Source organism: Homo sapiens, chromosome 8 (genome assembly GCF_000001405.40).
Source record: "Homo sapiens chromosome 8, GRCh38.p14 Primary Assembly".
Classification (NCBI taxonomy): Eukaryota; Metazoa; Chordata; class Mammalia; order Primates; family Hominidae; genus Homo; species Homo sapiens.
The window spans coordinates 47,070,186-47,093,316 of NC_000008.11; the positions used below are offsets into that span (position 1 = coordinate 47,070,186).

The 23,131-nt window shown below is 39.2% G+C and overlaps 1 protein-coding gene and 1 long non-coding RNA gene across 4 annotated transcripts in view; one reads left to right on the forward strand and one right to left on the reverse strand.

The window, feature by feature from the left end:
• LOC105375815 (uncharacterized) overlaps window positions 1-14,007 on the forward strand; it is an 80,550-nt gene extending 66,543 nt beyond the window's left edge. For both annotated transcript variants that reach the window (XR_928842.3, XR_928841.3), the window contains 2 exons: window positions 5,267-5,426; window positions 13,385-14,007. This is a non-coding gene — a long non-coding RNA (uncharacterized LOC105375815). The remainder of the gene's footprint in view (window positions 1-5,266; window positions 5,427-13,384) is intronic.
• Window positions 14,008-17,890: 3,883 nt separating this feature from the next.
• On the reverse strand, window positions 17,891-22,506 carry LOC105375816 (putative coiled-coil domain-containing protein 144C). Of its 2 annotated transcripts, XR_928846.3 has the most exons (3): window positions 22,122-22,506; window positions 21,216-21,399; window positions 17,891-19,621 (listed from the first exon to the last, which is right to left on the reverse strand). XR_928846.3 is itself a non-coding variant. In XM_011517651.4 (2 exons), the coding sequence occupies exons 1-2, from the start codon at window positions 21,354-21,356 to the stop codon at window positions 19,316-19,318; spliced, it is 447 nt and encodes a 148-aa protein (XP_011515953.1). In that variant the 5' UTR covers window positions 21,357-21,693; the 3' UTR covers window positions 18,399-19,315. The 2 variants fall into 2 exon arrangements, 1 of the variants encoding a protein (XP_011515953.1); XM_011517651.4 differs by lacking the exon at window positions 22,122-22,506 and having other exon boundaries at window positions 18,399-19,621; window positions 21,216-21,693.
• Between the last annotated feature and the right edge of the window lie 625 nt (window positions 22,507-23,131).

Here is a 23,131-nt window from a genome sequence, read left to right on the forward strand (position 1 = left end):
TATCTTAATATCCCCCTCTCAGTAATTTTCTTTCAATTTTATGGAGAGTAGAAAATTCTTTATAGTTGGGATGGATGGAAAGAACCCAGGAGGCAGTTTCTCATTTTGTCAGCTGTTTAGGCATGGGCGCCTGTCCTTTATTTGAAGAAGCTAAACTAATTTTATCCCTCAAAACTGGTCCTTAAAGTCCCATATGCTCAACTTTTCTACAAGAGTACTTGCACGTTTGAGAAAAGGTGTTTATATAGTTTTAGCAATGGAACATTAGCAATAAAAATGGATTGGGCCCAGTGGGATTTATAATAGTTTTAAATTTTGGAGATAACACGTAGAGAAAGGTAATTTTTGTTGTTTTACCCAATTTTATAAGCTATATATAGAATTGACTTTTTTTTTTGACAGTTTCACTCTGTCACCCAGGCTGGAGTGAAGTGGGATGATCTCAGCTCCCTGGAACTTCCGCCTCCCAGGTTCAAGTAATCCTCCTACCTCTCATCCCAAAAGCTAGGACTACAGGCACATGCCACTACATCCAGCTAATTTTTGTATTTTTAGTAGAGACAGGATTTCACCACATTGACCAGGCTGGCCTCGAACTCCTACCTCAAGTAGTCTACCTGTCTTGGCCTCCCAAAGCTGGGATTACAGATGTGAGCCACCGTGTCTGGCCCAGAATTCAAAATATTTAAACACAAAGGACATAAGCCCTGCTAGCTCTGACAATGACAGAAAAAGAACTCACAGGTAGCTAAACATTTAAATTATCTAGTATTAAGGCATAGAACAAATTATATTAAGATAGAGAAAAAATAATTTAGTATTTATGTGTTTATATACAGGTCTAGCCCAGTATCACATGAAAGCATTTTTGTTTTTTGTTTTTTGTTTTGAGACAGGGTCTCACTTTGTTACCCAGGCTGGAGTGCCATGGCACCATCCCCACTCACTGCAGCCTCGACCTCCTGGGCTAAAGCAATCCTACTGCCTTGGCCCCCAAGTAGCTGGGACTACAGGTACATGCCAACAAACCAAATTACTTTGAACTATTTGCAGAGAAGGGGTATTGCCATATTGCCCACAGGCTGATTTTGAACTCCTGAGCTCAGGCGATCCACTTGCCTTGGTCTCCCAAAGAGGACTGCATCCTCTCCCTCTTACACTCCCAGAGGAAATGAAGAATTATCATCAATGGCAAATGGCAGTTGCAGAAAAGCAACACCAAAAGCTGCACACATACACCCTCCCAAGACTAAACCAGGAAGATGTCGAATCCCTGAATAGACCAATAACAAATTCTGAAATGGAGGCAGTAATAGCCTACCAACCAAAAAAAGCCCAGGACCAGACAGATTGACAGCTGAATTCTACCAGAGGTACAAAGAGGAGCTGGTATCATTCCTTCTGAAACTATTCCAAACAATAGAAAAAGAGGAACTCCTCCCTAACTCATTTTATGAGACCAGCATTATCCTGATACCAAAACCTGGCAGATACACAACAAAAAAAGAATTTCAGGCCAATATCCCTGATGAGCATCGATGTGAAAATCCTCAATGAAATACTGGCAAACCAAATCCAGCAATATATCAAAAAGCTTATCTACCACGATCAAGTTTGCTTCATCCCTGATATGCAAGGCTGGTCCAACATATGTAAATCAATAAATGTAATCCATCTTATAAACAGAACCAATGACAAAAACCACATGATTTTCTCAATAGATGCAAAAAAGGCCTTCAATAAAATTCAACATCCCTTCATGCTAAAAACTCTCAATAAACTAGGTATTGATGGAACCTATCTCAAAATAATAAAAGCTATTTATAACAAACCCACAGCCAATATCATACCGAATGGGCAAAAGCTAGAAGCATTCCCTTTGAAAACCGACACAAGAAAATGATGTCCTCTCTCACCACTCCTATTCAACATATTATTGGAAGTCCTGGCTACGACAATCAGGCAAGAGAAAGAAATAAAGAGTATTCAAATAGGAAAAGAGGATGTAAAATTGTCTCTGCAGATGACATGATTGTATATTTAGAAAAACCCATCATCTCAGCTCAGAATCTCCTTAAGCTGATAAGCAACTTTAACAAAGTCTCACGATACAAAATCAATGTGCAAAAATCACAAGCATTCCTATACACCAATAATAGATGAACAGAGAGCCAAATCATGAATGAACTCCCATTCACAATTGCTACAAAGAGAATAAAATACCTAGGATTACAACTTACAAATAGTGGGAAGGACCTCTTCAAGGAGAACTACAACCCACTGCTCAAGGAAATAAAAGGGGACACAAACAAACAGAAAAACATTTCATGTTCATGCATAAAAAGAATCAATATTGTGAAAATGGCAATACTGCCCAAAGTAATTTATATATTCAATGCAATCCCCATCAAGCTACTATTGACTTTCTTCACAGAATTACAAAAACCACTTTAAATTTCATATGAAACCAAAAAATATCCCATATAGCCAAGACAATCCTAAGCAAAAAGAACAAAGCTGGAGACATCACGCTACCTGATTTCAAACTACACTACAAGGCTACAGCAACAAAAACACCATGGTACTGGTACCAAAATAGATATATAGACCAATGGAACAGAACAGGGGCCTCAGAAATAATGCCAAACATCTACAAATCATCTGATCATTGAAAAACCTGACAAAAACAGGCAATGGGGAGAGGATTTCCTATTTAATAAATAGTGCTGGGGAAACTGGCTAGCCATATGCAGAAAACTGAAACTGGATCCCTTCCTTACACCTTATACAAAAATTAACTCAAGATGGACTAAAGACTTAATAAGACCTAAAACCATAAAAACCCTAGAAGAAAACCTAGGCAATACCATTCAGGACACAGGCATGGGCAAAGACTTCATGACTAAAACACCAAAAGCAATGGCAACAAAAGCCAAAATTTACAAATGGGCTCAACTAAAAAGCTGCCACAAAGCAAAAGAAACTATCAGACTGAACAGGCAACCTACAGAATGGGAGAAAAATTTTGCAATTTATCCATCTGATAAAGTGCTAATATCCAGAATCTATAAAGAACTTAAACAAATTTACAATAAAAAAAAAAACCATCAATAAGTGGGTGAAGGATATGAACAGACACTTCTCAAAAGAAGACATTTATGCAGCCAACAAATATATGAAAAAAAGCTCATCATCACTGGTCATTAGAGAAATGCAAATCAAAATCACAATGAGATACCATCTCACGTCAGTTAGAATGGTTATCATTAAAAAGTCAGAAAACAACATATGCTGGAGAGGATGTGGATAAACAGAAATGCTTTTATACTGTTGGTGGGAGTGTAAATTAGTTCAACCACTGTGGAAGACAGTGTGGCGACTCCTCAAGGATCTAGAACCAGAAATACCATTTGACCCAGCAATCCCATTACTGGGTGTGTACCCAAAAAATTATAAATAATTCTACTATAAACACACATGTACATGTATGTTTATTGCAGCACTGTTCACAATAGCAAAGACTTGGAACCAACCCAAATGCCCATCAATGATAGACTATATAAAGAAAATGTGACACACACACACCATGGAATACTATGCAGCCATAAAAAAGGATGAGTTCATGTCCTTTGCAGGGACATGGATGAAGCTGGAAACCATCATTCTCTGCAAACTAATACAGGAACAAAAAACCAAACACTGCATGTTCTCACTCATAAGTGGGAGCTGAACAATGAGAACACATGGACTTAGGGAGGGCAACATCGCAAACCAGGGCATCTCGAGGGGTGGGGGGTTAGAGGAGGGATAGCATTAGGAGAAATACCTAATGTAGATGACAGGTTGATGGGTGCAGCAAACCACCATGGCATTTGTATACCTATGTAACAAACCTGCAGGTTCTGCACATGTATCCCAGAACTTACAGTATAATAATAAAAAAACAAAGTCCAATTTTTTAGAAAGGTTATTATGAATAATTTCCTTTCCATTCTAGCCAACAGAATTGCATACACAATTTTAAAATAAATTCTTTTTTTAATGAAGCTTATTACACAGACCAATTATAACACACTTGGACTTTCTGTTTTGTCCTAAACATACTCTTTCTTAAATAACCAGCCATTTCATTTTAGGATAAAAATCTATCATACAAGATTCTTTTTCTTTTTCTTCTCTTTTTTTTTTATTATACTTTAAGTTTTAGAGTACATGTGCACATTGTGCAGGTTAGTTACATATGTATACATGTGCCATGCTGGTGTGCTGCACCCACTAACTCATCATCTAGCATTACGTATATCTCCCAATGCTATCCCTCCCCCCTCCCCCCACCCCACCACAGTCCCCACAGTGTGATATTCCCCTTCCTGTGTCCATGTGATCTCATTGTTCAATTCCCACCTATGAGTGAGAATATGCGGTGTTTGGTTTTTTGTTCTTGCGACAGTTTACTGAGAATGAAAATTATTTTCCTTTTAATCTTTGTTAACAAAAATACCTCTTTATAACTTAACTTTCTTTAAATCTCTCTCTTAATGGTTTCCTTTATCTTGTTATATAAGAAATCTTTTAATAAACTTTGAATTGGACAATTACTTTCATTTTATTTCTTATCATTTCTTAATTTCATTTTTTCCTACAATTTTTCTTGTTTCATTGGAATACTTCTTATTTTGGCACACTTTATATGTAAAATCACAAATTAATTAAAATTTTGATTTTTTGTAATAATTTTTTGTGAAAACCTAGGAAGCAGGAAATCTTTAATTGTCACATCAGCACTTTATAAGGGTGTATAATCTTTTTTTTTTTTTTTCTTGAGACGGAGGTTTGCTTTGTCCCCAGGCAGGGGTGCAATGGCACAATCTTGGATCACTGCAACCTCTGCCTCCTGGGTTCAAGCAATTCTCCTGCCTTAGCCTCCTGAGTAGCTGGGAATACAGGCATGTACCACCACTCCCAGCTAATTTTTATATTTTTAGTAGAGATGGGATTTCACCATATTTGTAAGGTTGGTCTCAAATTCCTGACCTCATGATCTGCCTCCCAAAGTTCTGGGATCACATATGTGAGCCACCATGCCTGGACAGTGAGAAACATCTTATAATTATTTTGAAAATGTTTTTAATGATGTAATTTAACAATTGATAATGACCCAGACATTTAATATCTATTATTTGATACAACATTAAGATTTAACTTATATGACATGTTCATTTATAAGCTTTCATTCTATTACATTTACCTAATTTCTTATTAATAGGTTTCTCTTACTGATAACTCTGGATTGAGTTGTTTCCATTAAATCAACAATATTAAATGTCTTGGGGTGGAGCCAAGATGGCCAAATAAGAACAGCTCCAGTCTACAACTCCCAGCATGAGCGACGCAGAAGACGGGTGATTTCTGCATTTCCAACTGAGGTACTGGGTTCATCTTACTGGGAAGTGTTGGACAGTGGGTGCAGGACAGTGGATGCAGTGCACCGAGCATGAGCCAAAGCAGGGTGAGGCATCGCTACACCCAGGAAGCGCAAGGGGTCAGGGAATTCCCTTTCCTAGCCAAGCAAAGCTGTGACAGACGGTACCTAGAAAATCGGGTCACTCCCAGCTCAATACTGCATTTTCCAATAGTCTTAACAAACGGCACACCAGGAGATTATATCCCGCTCCTGGCTCAGAGGGTCCTACGCCCACAGAGCCTCGCTCATTGCTAGCACAACAGACTGAGATCAAACTGCAAGGCGGCAGCAAGTCTGGGGGAGGGGCACCTGCCATTGCTGAGGCTTGAGTAGGTAAACAAAGCAGCCAGGAAGCTTGAACTGGGTGGAGCCCACTGCAGCTCAAGGAGGCCTGACTGCCTCTGTAGACTCCACCTCTGGGGGCAGGGCATAGAGAAACAAAAGGCAGCAGAAACCTCTGCAGACTTAAATGTTCCTGTGTGACAGCTTTGAAGAGCATAGTGGTTCTCCCAACACCCAGCTTGAGATCTGAGAATGGACAGACTGCCTCCTCAACTGGGTCCCTGACCCCCGAGAAGCCTAACTGGGAGTCACCCCCAGTAGAGGCACACTGACACCTCACACGGCCGGGTACTCCTCTGAGACAAAGCTTCCAGAGGAACGATCAGGCAGCAGCATTTGTGGTTCACCAATATCTGCTGTTCTGCAGCCGCTGCTGCTGATACCCAGGCAAACAGGGTCTGGAGTGGACCTCCAGCAAACTCCAACAGACCTGCAGCTGAGGGTCCTGACTGTTAGAAGGAAAACTGACAAACAGAAAGGACATCCACACCAAAACCCCATCTGTATGTCACCATCATCGAAGACCAAAGGTAGATAAAACCACAAAGATGGGGAAAAAACAGAGCAGAAAAACTGGAAACTCTAAAAATCAGAGCACCTCTCCTCCTCCAAAGGAACGCAGCTCCTCACCAGCAATGGAACAAAGCTGGATGGAGAATGACTTTGATGAGTCAAGAGAAGAAGGCTTGAGACAATCAAATTACACCGAGCTAAAGGAGGAAGTTCGAACCTATGACTAAGAACCTAAAAACCCTGAAAAAAAAATTAGATGAACGGCTAACTAGAATAACCCATGCAGAGAAGTCCTTAAAGGACCAGATGGAGCTAAAACCCATGGCACGAGAACTACATGACGAATCCACAAGCCTCAGTAGCTGATTCGATCAACTGGAAGAAAGGGTATCAGTGATGGAAGATCAAATGAATGAAATGAAGGGAGAAGAGAAGTTTAGAGAAAAAAGAATAAAAAGAAATGAGCAAAGCCTCCAAGAAATATGAGACTATGTGAAAAGACCAAATCTACGTCTCATTGGTGTACCTGAAAGTGACGGGGAGAATGGAACCAGACTGGAAAATACTCTGCAGCATATTATCCAGGAGAACTTCCCCAATCTAGCAAGGCAGACCAACATTCAAATTTAGGAAATACAGACAACGCCACAAAGATACTCCTTGAGAAGAGCAACTCCAAGACACATAATTGTCAGATTCACCAAAGTTGAAATGAAGGAAAAAATGTTAAGGGCAGCCACAGAGAAATGTCGGGGCACCCACAAAAGGAAGCCCATCAGTCTAACAGCGGATCTCTCGGCAAAAACTCTATAAGCCAGAAGAGAGTGGGGGCCAATATTCAACATTCTTAAAGAAACGATTTTTCAACCCAGAATTTCATATCCAGCCAAACTAAGCTTCATAAGTGAAGGAAAAATAAAATCCTTTACAGACCAGCAAAAGCTGAGAGATTTTGTCACCATCAGGCCTGCCCTACAAGAGCTCCTGAAGGAAGCACTAAACATGGAAAGGAACAAATGATGCCAGCCACTGCAAAAACATGCCAAATAGTAAAGACCATCGAGGCTAGGAAGAAACTGCATCAACTAACGAGCAAAATAACCAGCTAACGTCAAAATGACAGGATCAAATGCACACATAACAATATTAACCTTAAATGTAAATGGGCTAAATCCTCCAATTAAAAGACACAAGACTGGCAAATTGGATAAAGAGTCAAGACCCATCAGTGTGCTGTATTCAGGAAACCCATCTCACATGCAGAGACACACATAGGCTCAAAATAAAGGGATGCAGGAAGATCTACCAAGCAAATGGAAAACAAAAAAGGCAGGGGTTGCAATCCTAGTTTCTGATAAAACAGACTTTAAGCCAACAAAGATCAAAAGAGACAAAGAAGGTCATTACATAATGGTAAAGGGATCAATCCAACAAGAAGAGCTAACTATCCTAAATATATATGCACCCAACACAGGAGCACCCAGATTCATAAAGCAAGTCCTTAGAGACCCAGAAAGAGACTTACCCTCCCACAAAATAATAATGGGAGACTTTAACACCCCACTGTCAACATTAGACAGATCAACGAGACAGAAAGTTAACAAGGATATCCAGGAATTGAACTCAGCTCTGCACCAAGCAGACCTAATAGACATCCACAGAACTCTCCACCATAAATCAACAGAATATACATTCTTTTCAGCACCAAAACACACCTATTCCAAAATTGACCACATAGTTGGAAGTAAAGCACTCCCCAGCGAATGTAAAAGAACAGAAATTATAACAAACTGTCTCTCAGACCACACTGCAATCAAACTAGAACTCAGAATTAAGAATCTCACTCAAAACCGCTCAACTACATGGAAACTGAACAACCTGCTCCTGAATGACTACTGGGTACATAACGAAATGAAGGCAGAAATAAAGATGTTCTTTGAAACCAATGAAAACAAAGACACAACATACCAGAATCTCTGGGACGCATTCAAAGCAGTGTGTAAAGGGAAATTGATAGCACTAAATGCCCACAAGAGAAAGCAGGAAAGATCTAAAATTGACACACTAACATCACAATTAAAAGAACTAGAAAAGCAAGAGCAAACACATTCAAAAGCTAGCAGAAGGCAAGAAATAGCAAAGATCAGAGCAAAACTGAAGGAAATAGAGACACGAAAAGCCCTTCAAAACATCAATGAATCCAGGAGCTGGTTTTTTGAAAAGATCAACAAAATTGATAGACTGCTAGCAGACTAATAAAGAAGAAAAGAGAGAAGAATCAAATAGATGCAATTAAAAATTACAAAGGAGTTATCACCACCGATCCCACAGAAATACAAACTACCATCAGAGAATACTGTAAACACCTCTACACAAATAAACTAGAAAATCTAGAAGAAATGGATAAATTCCTCGACACATACACTCTCCCAAGACTAAACCAGGAAGAAGTTGAATCTCTGAATAGACCAATAACAGGCTCTGAAATTGAGGCAATAATTGATAGCTTACCAAACAAAAAAAGTCCAGCACCAGATAGATTCACAGCCAAATTCTACCACAGGTACAAGGAGGAGCTGGTACCATTCCTTCTGAAACTATTCAAATCAATAGAAACAGAGGGAATCCTCCCTAACTCATTTTATGAGGCCAGCATCATCCTGATACCAAAGCCTGGCAGAGACACAACAAAAAAAGAGAATTTCAGACCAATATCCTTGATGAACATTGATGCAAAAATCCTCAATAAAATACTGGCAAACCGAATGCAGCAGCACGTCAAAAAGCTTATCCACCATGATCAAGTGGGCTTCATCCCTGGGATGCAAGGCTGGTTCAACATATGCAAATCAATAAATGTAATCCAGCATATAAACAGAACCAAAGACAAAAACCACATGATTATCTCAATAGATGCAGAAAAGGGCTTTGACAAAATTCAACAACCTTCATGCTAAGAACTCTCAATAAATTAGGTATTGATGGGACGTATCTCAAAATAATAAGAACTATCTATGACAAACCCACAGCCAATATCATACTGAATTGGCAAAAACTGGAAGCATTCCCTTTGAAAACTGGCACAAGACAGGGATGCCCTCTCTCACCACTCCTATTCAACATAGTGTTGGAAGTTCTGGCCAGGGCAATCAGGCAGGAGAAGGAAATAAAGGGCAATCAACTAGGAAAAAGGAAGTCAAATTGACCCTGTTTGCAGATGACATGATTGTGTATCTAGAAAACCCCATCATCTCAGCCCAAAGTCTCCTCAAGCTGATAAGCAACTTCAGCAAAGTCTCAGGATACAAAATCAATGTACAAAAATCACAAGCATTCTTATACACCAACAACAAACAGAGAGCCAAATCATGAGTGAACTCCCATTCACAATTGCTTCAAAGAGAATAAAATACCTAGGAATCCAACTTACAAGGGATGTGAAGGACCTCTTCAAGGAGAACTACAAATCACTGCTCAATGAAATAAAAGAGGATACAAACAAATGGAAGAACATTTCATGCTCATGGGTAGGAAGAATCAATATCGTGAAAATGGCCATACTGCCCAACGTAATTTATAGATTCAATGCCATCCCCATCAAGCTACCAATGACTTTCTTCACAGAATTGGAAAAAACTAAAGTTCATATGTAACCAAAAAAGAGCCCACATTGCCAAGTCAATCCTAAGCCGAAAGAACAAAGCTGGAGGCATCATGCTACCTGACTTCAAACTATACTACAAGACTACAGTAACCAAAACAGCATGGTACTGGTACCAAAACAGAGATATAGATCAATGGAACAGAACAGAGCCCTCAGAAATAATGCTGCATATCTACAACTATCTGATCTTTGACAAACCTGAGAAAAACAAGCAATCGGGAAAGGATTCCCTATTTAATAAATGGTGCTGGGAAAACTGGCTAGCCATATGTAGAAAGCTGAACCTGGATCCCTCCCTTACACCTTATACAAAAATTAATTCAGGAAACAACAGGTGCTGGAGAGGATGTGGAGAAATAGGAACACTTTTACACTGTTGGTGGGACTGTAAACTAGTTCAACCATTGTGGAAGTCAGTGTGGTGATTCCTCAGGGATCTAGTACTAGAAACACCATTTGACCCAGCCATCCCATTACTGGGTATATACCCAAAGGACTATAAATCATGCTGCTATAAAGACACATGCACACATATGTTTATAGTGGCACTATTCACAATAGCAAAGACTTGAAACCAACCCAAATGTCCAACAATGATAGACTGGATTAAGAAAATGTGGCACATATTCACCATGGAATACTATGCAGCCATAAAAAATGATGAGTTCATGTCCTTTGTGGGGACATAGATGAAACTGGAAACCATCATTCTCAGCAAACTATCGCAAGGACAAAAAAACCAAACAACGCATTATCTCACTCATGGGTGGGAATTGAACAATGAGAACACATGGACACAGGAAGGGGAACATCACACACCAGGAACTGTTGTGGGGTAGGGGTAGGGGGTAGGGATAGCATTAGGAGATATACCTAATGCTAAATGACGAGTTAATGGGTGCAGCACACCAACATGGCACATGTACACATATGTAAGAAACCTGCACGTTGTGCACATGTACCCTAAAACTTAAAGTATAATAATAATAAAATTTAAAACAAAAAGTTAAAAAAAAAGAGTCAGGAAACAATAGGTGCTGGAGAGGATGTGGAGAATAAGGAGAACTTTTACACTGTTGGTGGGACTGTAAATTAGCTCAACCATTGTGGAAGTCAGTGTGGCAATTCCTCAGGGATCTAGAACTAGAAATACCATTTGACCCAGCCATCCCATTACTGGGTATATACCCAAAGGATTATAAATCATGCTGCTGCTATAAAGACACATGCACATGTATGTTTACTGTGGCACTATTCACAATAGCAAAGACTTGGCACCAACCCAAATGTCCAACAATGATAGACTGGATTAAGAAAATGTGGCACATATACACCATGGAATACTATGCAGCCATAAAAAAGGATGAGTTCATGTCCTTTGTAGGGACATGGATGAAGCTGGAAACCATCATTCTCAGCAAACTATCGCAAGGACAAAAAAACAAACAGCACATGTTCTCACTCATAGGTGAGAATTGAACAATGAGAACACATGGACACAGGAAGGGAACATCACAAACCAGGGCCTGTTGTGGGGTGGGGGGAGGGGGGAGGGATAGCATTAGGAGATATACCTAATGTTAAGTGATAAGTTAATGGGTGCAGCACACCAACATGGCACATGTATACATATGTAAGTAACCTGCACATTGTGCACATGTACCCTAAAACTTAAAGTATAATAAAAAATATATTAAATGCCTTATTTATCAAAAATTACATGAACAAAAATCCTTGTTTTCTGCTGGGTTTATAATTTATAACCTTTGTGCCAAATTTTGACATCTTATAGTTGCTGAGATGAATACAAAACCACTTGACAAGAAAATTTAAAAAAAGAAAAACGAAAAAAACTACTTGACCAATACATCTAAACCACAATGTATGCTGACAATTGTGAAGACATTTTGAATTTTCTTTTTACCAATGAATTTAAAGACAGCTTATAGGCTAAAATTCTACTTAAGTCACATGAACTTGAAAAAGTACTTGGGTATAAGTTTCTAATCTTCTGATAAAATATTTAAGAACTTTTTAAAAGCCAATTAGAGCCCTTTTATATATTTTTGGTACTCAATCATTATATACATTTGTCATATAAACATTTAGACATATAGACACACAGAAGTAGATCTTAGGGATTCATAAGATTTTTCATTTACTGGCTTTAGGGTGGAGCTTTTTAAGAAACAGGGCCAAGGAATCATGCAGTTTCTAGGGCCTAACATGCAGGCAGAGCTGTAAGGCAGAACAGATATCTAAAAATCAAGGACTACATTTTTACAGAAAATCCTCAGGACCTCAAAAGAGGAAAACATTATGAGATGAGACAATGCCATGTTTTTACCATGCATTTCACTACAAGTACATTTCCCCTGAGGTTGGTGGCCAACAAAAGCCAATTAGCCCATTCAATAATCAGCTCATATCCCATGGCAGTATCACTATTCAGTAGGGGGTTGGGATGTTTCCATACCTTCCAGGTGGCCAAAAGCATACTATCTCTTCCAATAAGCTGCCCTAAAAAATATATCTCTTACCTAGCTATTACACACACCAAAGTCAAAAACTTTCCCATTGTGCAAAGTGATTTTTGACACCCTCAAAAGCCATTACGATCCAGCAATGCAATTTAAAAAGTGAGCAGTTTAATATCTGCAAAAAACTTGTCTGTTTACAACTCATGGGATTTGATAAACAAAAATAGTGGTTCCTCCCAAAAAGAAGTCTGGTGCCTTCTTTTGTAAGCAATCAGGCTATCAGAAATTATTTTAGATCTTTTATGTGGGCATCAAGGGTGGCAAGAGAAAAAAGGGACAGACATAAGTAAAATGGAGAGTTATAATTCAGTTGAATGAGAAGAAAAACAAATATTTTTCAAAAAACAAGATCCACAGAAAGGCCTTTTAGATACACACACACACAAATATATGTATATGTAATAGAAAAATAATGATATATAAACACATATTTCTAACATACATATGTGTATTTGTTTATATATAAATATATGTATATATTTAGAACATATATGTAATTATGTTTAAATATAATTATATACATATTAGAAATTTGCTTTTAATTAAGTTGACTTCTAATCAAGGAGTTCTTAAAAAAAATCCTTTTAAATATTTTACTACCATATCATAGCTAGGACAAACTGCTGGTATTTTTAAAGTAACACAAATACCAAACCAGAAAGAACTAGACTTAGGAACCAAACTGAGGTTGCTGTGGTGAACAGGGCAGAATCTTAGCATTGGGTGGCCACCACTGCTCTTTCAGTTTGGCCTTGGCTAGCAAAAGATGGCCTTGTTACATAGATGAAACCTCATAGGTTAAAAAAAAAAAAAGTTTTAAAAAGTCCTTTCTGCTAACTGGATTTTTTTTTCTTTTTGCAGCTACCGGAGTTTTAGCCAATTCAGATGCTTTGTTCCCCACAATTTGGAACATTCCTTTGGATGTGACCAAGTCAGGAAAAGATGGTCATACTTCATGGGAGAAATGTGAAACAACAAAACCCCAAACATAAACAAAAACAGTTTAGCAAAACAAACAAATTCATATGAATACCAAGTGTTCTAACAGTAAGGAGAAATTAAAACCAGCTGGTTGGTAATCTTAACTTTTAGTCATTAAGGAACATTTTTAAGACAAAACTCTAATTCAGCTACTTACCTGGAAATAAAGCTCAGGCTGATGATCGCTCTCTACCATCATAGAGAGGCAGGAAAAAACTCACACTCACCTTCTCTGTCAGAAGCAAGTTGAAACTCAAGAAAGAAGGTGCCTGCTCTCCATCGTCATGGAAGCAGGAAAACTTGCCTTCCTTGTTGGAAATGAGTAAAACTTCAGAAAAGGAGTTGTACAGCAAAATAACTTCAAATAGCAACCAAATTTTGGGAGATCAGGGACTCTCTGGAGGGGAGAAGCTCCCCAAGCTCCACAAATTAGCCTATTGGCTTGAGAAATAAAGATAACCCAGGTTGGTATCAAGCAAAAATAAAAGATTTATCAAAGGTCAGGGCCATCTTTGTAATGTCCTTCTCTGCCTTTTTTTTAATCTTTATTGGTATAAAGTTTGTTTTGTCAGGATAGGATTGCAACACCTGCTTTCTCCTGTTTTCCATTTGCTTGAAAGATTTTTCTCCATTCCTTTATTTTGAGCCTATGTGTGGCATCGCATGTGTGATGGGTCTCTTGAAAACAGAATACTCAAATGGGTCTTGGTTCTTTATCCAGCTTGCCCCTCTGTCTTTCATTTGGAGCATTTAGCCCATTTACATTTAAGGTTAGTAATGATATGTGTGGATTTCATCCTGTCATCATGCTGTTGGCTGCTTATTCTGCAGACTTGTCTGTGGTTTTTAGCATCACTGGTCTGTGTACTTCAGTGCGTTTTTGTAGTGGCTGGTGATAGTCTTTTCTTTCTGTAGTTAGTGCTTCCTTCAGGAGCTGTTTTAAGGCAGGTCTGGTGGTAATGAATTCCCTCAGCATTTGCTTCTCTGAAAAGGATCCTATTTCTTCATTTATGAAGCTTAGTTTGGCTGGACATGAAATTCTGGGTTGAAACTTCTTTTAATAAGTTCAATATTGGGCCCTACAATCTCTTCTGGCTTGTAGGGTTTGAGCTGAGAAGTCTGCTGTAAGTCTGTTGGGATTCCCTTTGTAGGTGACCTCACCTTTCTCCCTAGCTGCTTTTAACATTTTTTTCTTTCATTTTGACCCTGGAGAATCTGATGATTAAGTGTCTTGGGGATGATCTTCTCATGGCATATCTTACTGGGGTTCTCTGGATTTCCTGAATTTGAATGTTGGCCTGTCTGGCTGGGTTGGGAATATTCTCATGAATGATATTCTGAAATATTTTTCCAAGTTGGTTCCATTCTCATCTTTCAGATATATTAATCAGTAATAGATTTGGTCTCTTTACATAATCCCATATTTCTCAAAGATTTTGTTCATTCCTTTTCATTCTTTTTTCCCCCATTCTTGTCTGCATGTTTTATTTCAAAAAGCCAGTTTTCAAGCTCTGAGATTCTTTTTTCTTCTTGTTCTATTCTGCTAGTTGGTCTTGCACATGAGATGGGGCTGGTCTGACCTCAGCACTCCTTAGTCTGCTTGCCTCTCCCAGGGCCCCAGCCTGGCCACACCTGCTTACAGGGCACTCTTGGGTGCCCACACACACTAAAAGAATTTTCATAATGCAATCACACACAATCACCATGTGACTGCGTTATCAAAATTCTTGTAGTTTGCTTTTCAGCTCTATCAGGTTGGTTATGTTCTTCTTTATACTGGCTATTTTGTCTGTTAGCTCCTGCAATGTTTTACAATGATTTTTAGCTCCCTTGCATTGGATTACAACATACTTCTTTCACTCAGTGAACTTTGTTCCTACCCATATTCTGAATTCTACTTGTATCATTTCAGACATCTCAGCCTTAGCCCAGTTCTGAACACTTGCTGGAGAGTTGACACAGTCATTTGGAGGAAAGAAGGCATGCTGACTTTTTGAGTTTTCAGTGTTCTTGCACAGATTCTTTCTCATCATTATGGGCTTACCACACCTTCAACTTTTGAGGTTGCTGACCTTTGGACAGGGTATTTTTTTTTATCATATTTGATGACTTTGAGAGTTTGATTGTGGTGTAAGGTGGATTCAGCCAACTGGCTTTGTTTCTGGAGGATTTTAGGGGGCCAACACTCAGCTCCCAATTCCTGGACTGTGTGCTTTAACATGGGGAACTTGTATTGGGCCCCAACTTTGTTCCCTGCCTCCTCCAGGTTTGAAGTCCCCACTGTACTGGGGGACCAAAGCGCAGCAGCTGCAGCAGAGTGCTAACAGATGCAAAAGTGCCTGCCTCCCTGCAGGCATTCACCCAGTAGTGGAAGCAAGACAGCTGGGGTGGGGGGGCCAGGGGGGCCCTGCTGACTGTGTGTGCTGTTGCACTGGAGGAGGTATTGGTTTGGGGTGGGGTGCTGGCAAGTGCAGGTCTGGGTGCCTTCTCTGTGCCCACCAAGCAACAGCAGTTGCTTAGGGTATAAGAGGGTCCCCTTTTCTCTGTACAGCATTAGCTCAAGGGCAAGGTGCTGGCAGGGTGGGCATTTTTGGCTCTGTGCCCACCATAGCTCCATCGTCAATAGCAGTTGACATGTGTTGGGGTGTGTGGCTGCACTCCCGTGTGCTGGTAGGGCAAGTACAGCAAAACCCACCTGTGTAGACACACACCAGCAAAGTGATATAGGAAGTTTCCATATAAAGAAGAGCTGCAGTATGGAGAGGCAATGTGCAGGCTGGTGCATGCCTGTAGGGGCCACATTGCTGAGCTCTCCACTGGTCAAGCACAGTCCACTGGCACAGAAGCTATGGTGTGGGCACCCAAGAGTGCCCTGTAAGCAAGTGTGGCCAGGCTGGGGCCCTGGGAGAGGCAAGCAGACTAAGGATTGCTCAGGTCAGACCTGCCCCATCTCATGTACAAGACTGCCCAGCAGATATCAGGTCTGAGAGGAGAACTCTCTCAAAAGTAAAGACCCAGCACAGCAAAGCTGCTCTACGGAAATGTGGCCAGACTTCTTTTTTAAGCAAGTCCCCTTTATTAAGAAGCGAACTCTCAGACCTGATCTCTGCTGGGCAATCTTAACACGTGAGATGTGGTTGGTCTGACCTCAGCACTCCTAAAGTGCTGGGGTAAAGTGTCTCAGAAGAGCAAGTGGAGCTTAGATAGCTGTCCCTGACCTCCAGGCTCCACATGAGCTGGCTTGCTGCTCCACCACTTTGCTTGCCTCCTGGTGGCTCTACCCCAGAGAGATGTGAGTTAGCAATTACTAAGTGCAATCAGCCAGGTTGGAGGGTCTGTGCCGCGGGCCAAGCCAGGGTTCGCTGTCTGGTAATGAGCAGTGGAGGGTGTGTGGGACCCGTGGAAGATGGGCTGACATGCTCCTTGAGCCAACTTCAGCTTATGGGAGGTGTCGATACAGCACTTAAAGTCTTTGCTTCCTTGATATTCTGAGGGTAGCAAGGACAGTTCCACTTCAGAGGCAGTGGCAGAGAGGATTTCAGTTGCTCCTGGAAGCACTGTCCAGGGAACTGCCAAGTTGCTACTGGCTTGATAGCTTCGGTCGGGGGTTGTCTAGAGACTCAGGCCAGGAGGACCTGCCCATCAAGGAGATATGGAAACTGGCACCCACGTAACTGTCTGGCCACTTTTCCATAGGGCTGCTGTGGCATGCTGGGAGTCCACTTCAGTCCCTAGCTGCCTCAGATTTTCCAGTGCCTGATGCTATCACCAGTGAAGCCTGCGAAAAGGCAAAGACGACAGCCTGCCCCTTCCTCTGGGAGTTCTGTACCACTGAGGTACGAACCTGTTGCCAATTTGAACACACCTATAGGAGGTGGCTGGAGGCAAGTTGAGAAGTCTTGCCTAGACAGGAGGAACAAGAACAGGGACTTGCTTAAAAAAGAGGTCTGCTCAACTGACAAAGGGCTAATCCAGAATCTACAATGAACTCAAACAAATTTACAAGAAAAAAACAAACAATCCCATCAAAAAGTGAGCAAAGGACATGAACAGAAACTTCTCAAAAGAAGACATTTATGCAGCCAAAAAACACATGAAAAAATGCTCACCATCACTGGCCATCAGAGAAATGCAAATCAAAACCACAATGAGATACCATCTCACACCAGTTAGAAAGGCGATCATTAAAAAGTCAGGAAACAACAGGTGCTGGAGAGGATGTGGAGAAATAGGAACACTTTTACACTGTTGGTGGGACTGTAAACTGGTTCAACCATTGTGGAAGTCAGTGTGGCAATTCCTCAGGGATCTAGAACTAGAAATACCATTTGACCCAGCCATCCCATTGCTGGGTATATACCCAAATGACTATAAATCATGCTGCTATAAAGAAACATGCACATGTATGTTTATTGTGGCATTATTCACAATAGCAAAGACTTGGAACCAACCCAAATGTCCAACAATGATAGACTGGATTAAGAAAATGTGGCACATATACACCATGGAATACTATGCAGCCATAAAAATGATGAGTTCATGTCCTTTGTAGGGACATGGATGAAACTGGAAATCATCATTCTCAGTAAACTATCGCAAGAACAAGAAACCAAACACCGCATATTCTCACTCATAGGTGGGAATTGAACAATGAGACCACATGGACACAGGAAGGGGAACATCACACTCTGGGGACTGTTGTGGGGTGGGGGGAGGGGGGAGGGATAGCATTGGGAGATATACCCAATGCTAGATGACGAGTTAGTGGGTGCAGCGCACCAGCATGGTACATGTATACATATGTAACTAACCTGCATATTGTGCACATGCTCCCTAAAACTTAAAGTATAATAATAATAATAAATAATTTAAAAAAAAAAGGTCTGGCCACATTTTTGCAGAGCAGCTGTGCTGTGCTGGGGGTTTACTTCAGCCCCTGGTCGCCTCAGACACTCTGAAGCCCTAAGGCTGAAATGGCTAAGTCACCCAAACAGCAAAGATGACAGTCTGGTCCTCCCGCTGGGAGCTCTGACCCAGGGGGCCTGAAACCTCTGTCAGCCAGAGAACAGCAGTGAAGGTAGCCAGAGACCCTGGTTGAAAGGCTCCACCCAGTGATGAGAAACGTGGTCAGGGACTGACTTAAAAAAGAGGCTGGCTATGTTTTCGTAGGGTGGCTGTGCTGTGCTGGGGTACTACTTCCACCCGGGTCAGCTTGGGCTCTCCAAAGCCTGAAGGCCAGAACGGCTAGTCCCCCAAACTTCAAAGGTGGTGGCTGCCCCTCTCCTCTGGTAACTCTGTCCTAGTGGGGGTTTCAAATCTCTGTTGGCTGGAGAATACTGGTGGGGGTAGCTGGAGGACCCAGTTGGGAGGTCCTGTCCAGTGAGGAGGAACAGCATCAGGGGCCTGCTTACAGAAGCAATCTGGCCATGATTTGGTAAAGCAGCTGTGCTGTGCTGCGGGATCTCTTCTGCCCCTGGTCAGTTTGTACTCTCCAAAGCCAGCAGGCTGGAATGGCTAAGTTGCCCAAACAGGAAAGATGGTAGCCTGCCCCATCTTTTCTCTCAGAGTTTATCTTGTGTGATGGGGCTTAATTTTTAGGGTGTTAATTTTACTGTCAGCATTAGAGAGTTGTTCAGAAAGAATCTCACTGTTATCTTTTAGGTTAGACATATGAAAATTCACTGTCTCCTATAAATAAACCCATTCATGTCTTGTTCTCTGGAAAGACTCTCTTTCTGCTATCTGACTTTGGTCACAATCATGTAAAGCAGCAACCAGTCTATCATGAAATGATTGAATTTCTGTTTCCAGTCATTCCTTGTTGTGTTTTACATTCTTCAGTTCAGAACTGAGCATTTTATTCTCAGTTGTCAAAATGCTAAGCTGTCCATTGTACTGAAATACTGTTTTTGCTAATGCTTCCTCATTCAATGTTATAGCCTTTAGAAGATTATCATGCTCTTCTTTCACACTTTCAATGTCCTCAAAATATTTCTTTTCCTTTATCTCATTCTGATGTTTTATTGTATCCAGTTCCAGTCTTAGCATGGCAATTTCTTCCTGCAACATGCTATTTTCATGCAAGAGACCTTTTTCTTTCTTATGGCTAAGAGAAATCTAAGTAAACAAAGGAAACTTTTAGTTAGTACTCAATAGAATGGCATGTTATAATTTCTTCTGAAATTAAAGAGTAACCTGTATATTTGTATAATGAAAGAATTCCCACAGTGAATATTTAACTGGAAAAAACGTTGGACAAAACTTCAAACCTAAGAGAGTGTAAATTCCCAAAAGTTTAAATATCTATTTAAAGACCATGAAAAATAAATCACTAGAGGATTTTTAAGAATCTCAGAATTGGAAAAGCCTTTCTCTGAATTACAAAAAAACCCAGAGGCATAAAATATAAGATTAATACATTTGACTATATTTTTAAAATTGGGTATACCCTCTTGATAACCACCTATAATCTATAAACCACACCACTGTAAGAGCCTTAGCTATGCATATATTTGGATAGATGCAATTTCTCAAAGTTCTTTAATTTCCTTTTTGTGAATCAGCTGACTTTTCTGAATAAATTTTCTGAATGAATTTTTTCTGAATAAACTTTCTGTATAAACTTTTTCTGAACAAACCTTCCTTTTATGAATAAACTGACTTCTCCATTAATATGTTAAGAAGATGAACTAATGTCCAAAAACTAGAAAATCTGTTGTTAGTAGTAAAACTTATTTTGGAAATTGTAAATTGAAAAATATCAAATGCTTCTCCTTTGGATTGAGGCCATTGTAAACGTCACCATTCGACCGCTGCAGGCAAATGGAGCTGAATTAAGAACATAGCTTTATCTTATATATACATGTATAGATATATGATAAAGAATATATAGAATATATATATATATACACATGTATATATACATACTTGTATGTGTGTGTATATATATATGATTTAAAAATCCTTTATACTTTCCAAAATACATAGTTGGTTTTTCAAATATATACAGATATAGAAACATTTGAAAATGGCTAAGAAAAATATCTCAGAATTCATTTTCTTTTCAGCCACTTTTATCTGCTTTTGTTTGTTAGTCAGTATCTCATCTAGTAATATTCTAGCATTATATTCTTCGGAAAGTTGCTTCTGGGTATCATTTCATTCCTGCACAAACTACAGATACAGTACATTTTTGGTTTAATAGGACTGAAAAACAAAGTCTAAAAGAGCAGAACCTCTATTATAAAACTGTTAAAAGAAAGTAGCCTATTAAAACACAAAAATTTTTAACCCTCAAGAATCATTCAAATTTTAATTGCATACATGAGAGCTAAATTTCTCTACGAGGAGAAACACTTCTTACCTATATAAAGATACAGTATTGTGTAATAAAATTTCTTTCAAAACATTTAACACATTTTAGTTTGAAAGCTATTTAGCCTGTATTTTAATATAAAAATCCATAAATGAGCATTTATGTTAGTGATTAAACTCAACTTATCCTCCATTTCTTTATTCTGAAAACACAGATTGAGATCCCAAGGTTTACAATAAAATAATTGTAACTATAAATGTCATAGCTCATTATAAAAATTAGATAACAGTTTTGGTGTGTTTACACCTAAATAACATACTACATTAAATCAAAGGAATATAAGTAATATTGATGAAATATAAAGTTGGAAATATAAAGTTTTCATCAGAAATTTACCTGATCCAAATTCTTTCTTACTGTCCTCAATTCCATGGCTCGTGTTTTCAGAGTCCGTTTCAGTTGTTGGTTAATTTCAACATCTTTCCCATATTCCTCTTCTTTTCTTTTTAACTCTTCACTACCTTTTTTATACAACATATCAGCATCCTTTCTCTTTTCTTCTTCTTGTTTTAAGGTCAATCTATACAGTTAAATATAGTTACATTAAAATTAATTTTGTTAGAAAATAAAAAAGTTTATTTTGTGATGTGGCTCTTCCTGAATAGGTTTATTATACAAATAAAATTTCTGTGTTCTTGACTATTTTTTCTTTCCAGTTCTCATGCTTTTAATTTCTTCCTTCAATCTTTTCCAAGGGACAAATACTTGAAATGTAGTGAGGAAAGAACAACTTGCTAATTGATGAGTTTCTGTTACTAGTAATTCCAATAAACATTATGAAAAAGGATATTAGAAATTATTCAGTTAACTTACAAGTTGAAAATTATCTCTTTTCACACAGCCATAGGAACTTCTCAATTATGACAGATCATTTCAAATTAACTAATTAAAAAGAACATAGTACTTAAACAAGTTTATAAATTCACTAGAAGAAATTTTATTTTCATGAAATACTGGAGGTATCCCTAAAATGATTTACAGGGCAAGATGGCACCATCAGATGTCATTCACAGAATGTATATCTGCAGATTAATCCAAGACAAGGCAAAGGGGTCTCACATCTGTTAATCCAGCTGTCCCCAACCATGTTGGCACCAGGGACTGGCTCTTTGGAAGATAATTTTTCCTCGGACCTGAGGTGGGGGGATGATTCCAGGATGATTCAAGCACGTTACATTTATTGTGTACTTTATTTCTATTATTACTGATTGTAATATATAATGAAATAATTATATAACTCACCATAACGTAGAATCAGTGGGAACCTTGAGCTTGTTTTCCTGCAACTACATGGTCCCATCTAGGAGTGACAGGAGACAGTGACAGATCATCAGGCATTAGATTCTCATAAGGAGTGCACAACCTAGATCCCCTGCATGAGCAGCTTACTACAGGGTTCAGGTCACACTTCTTGACAATCTATTGCCACCGCTGATCTGACGGGAGGAAGAGCTCAGGTGGTAATGCAAGTGATGGGGAGTGGCTGTAAACACAGATAAAGCTTCGCTTACTCACCTGCCCCTAACCTTCTGCTGTGTGGTCCAATTCCTAACAGGCCAGGGACTGGTACTGGTCCTTGTCCTGGGGATTGGGAACCCCTGTGTTAACCCATACTTTTTATGTTTACTTTCTGGAAACACTTTCCATTTATATTCTTGATTCCTATATGTTTTATAAACAACTTAGAAATTCCTTTTGGAACAAGGCATGGTCTAGTATTTAAACAATGAAGAATAACATGTGTTTTTAACATAGAACTTTGAATTAATTTTATCTGTGTATGAAAGATGTGAAATAAACTAATCCCTTTCCATTTTACTTTTCATTTCATGAATATTAAGAATAAAACTGGGAAGTCCTAGGCAGAGAAATTGGGCAAAAGAAATAAAGGGCATCCAAATTGGAAAAGAGGAAGTCAAACTATCTCTTCAGCAATGATATGCTCTTATACCTAGAAAACTCTAAAGACTCCTACAAAACACTCCTAGATTTGATAAATGAATTCAGTAAAGTCTCAGAGGTTACAAAATAAATGAATACCAATCAGTATCACCACTATACACCAACTACAACAAAGCTGAGATAATATGAAGAACTCAAACCCTTTTACAATGGCTGCAAAACTGTAAAATACCTAGGAATATACTTAATGAAGGAGGTGAGTGATCTATATAAGGATAAATGGAAAACATCACTGAAGAAAATAATAGATGACACAAATGAAAATACATCCTATGTTCATGGGTTGAAAG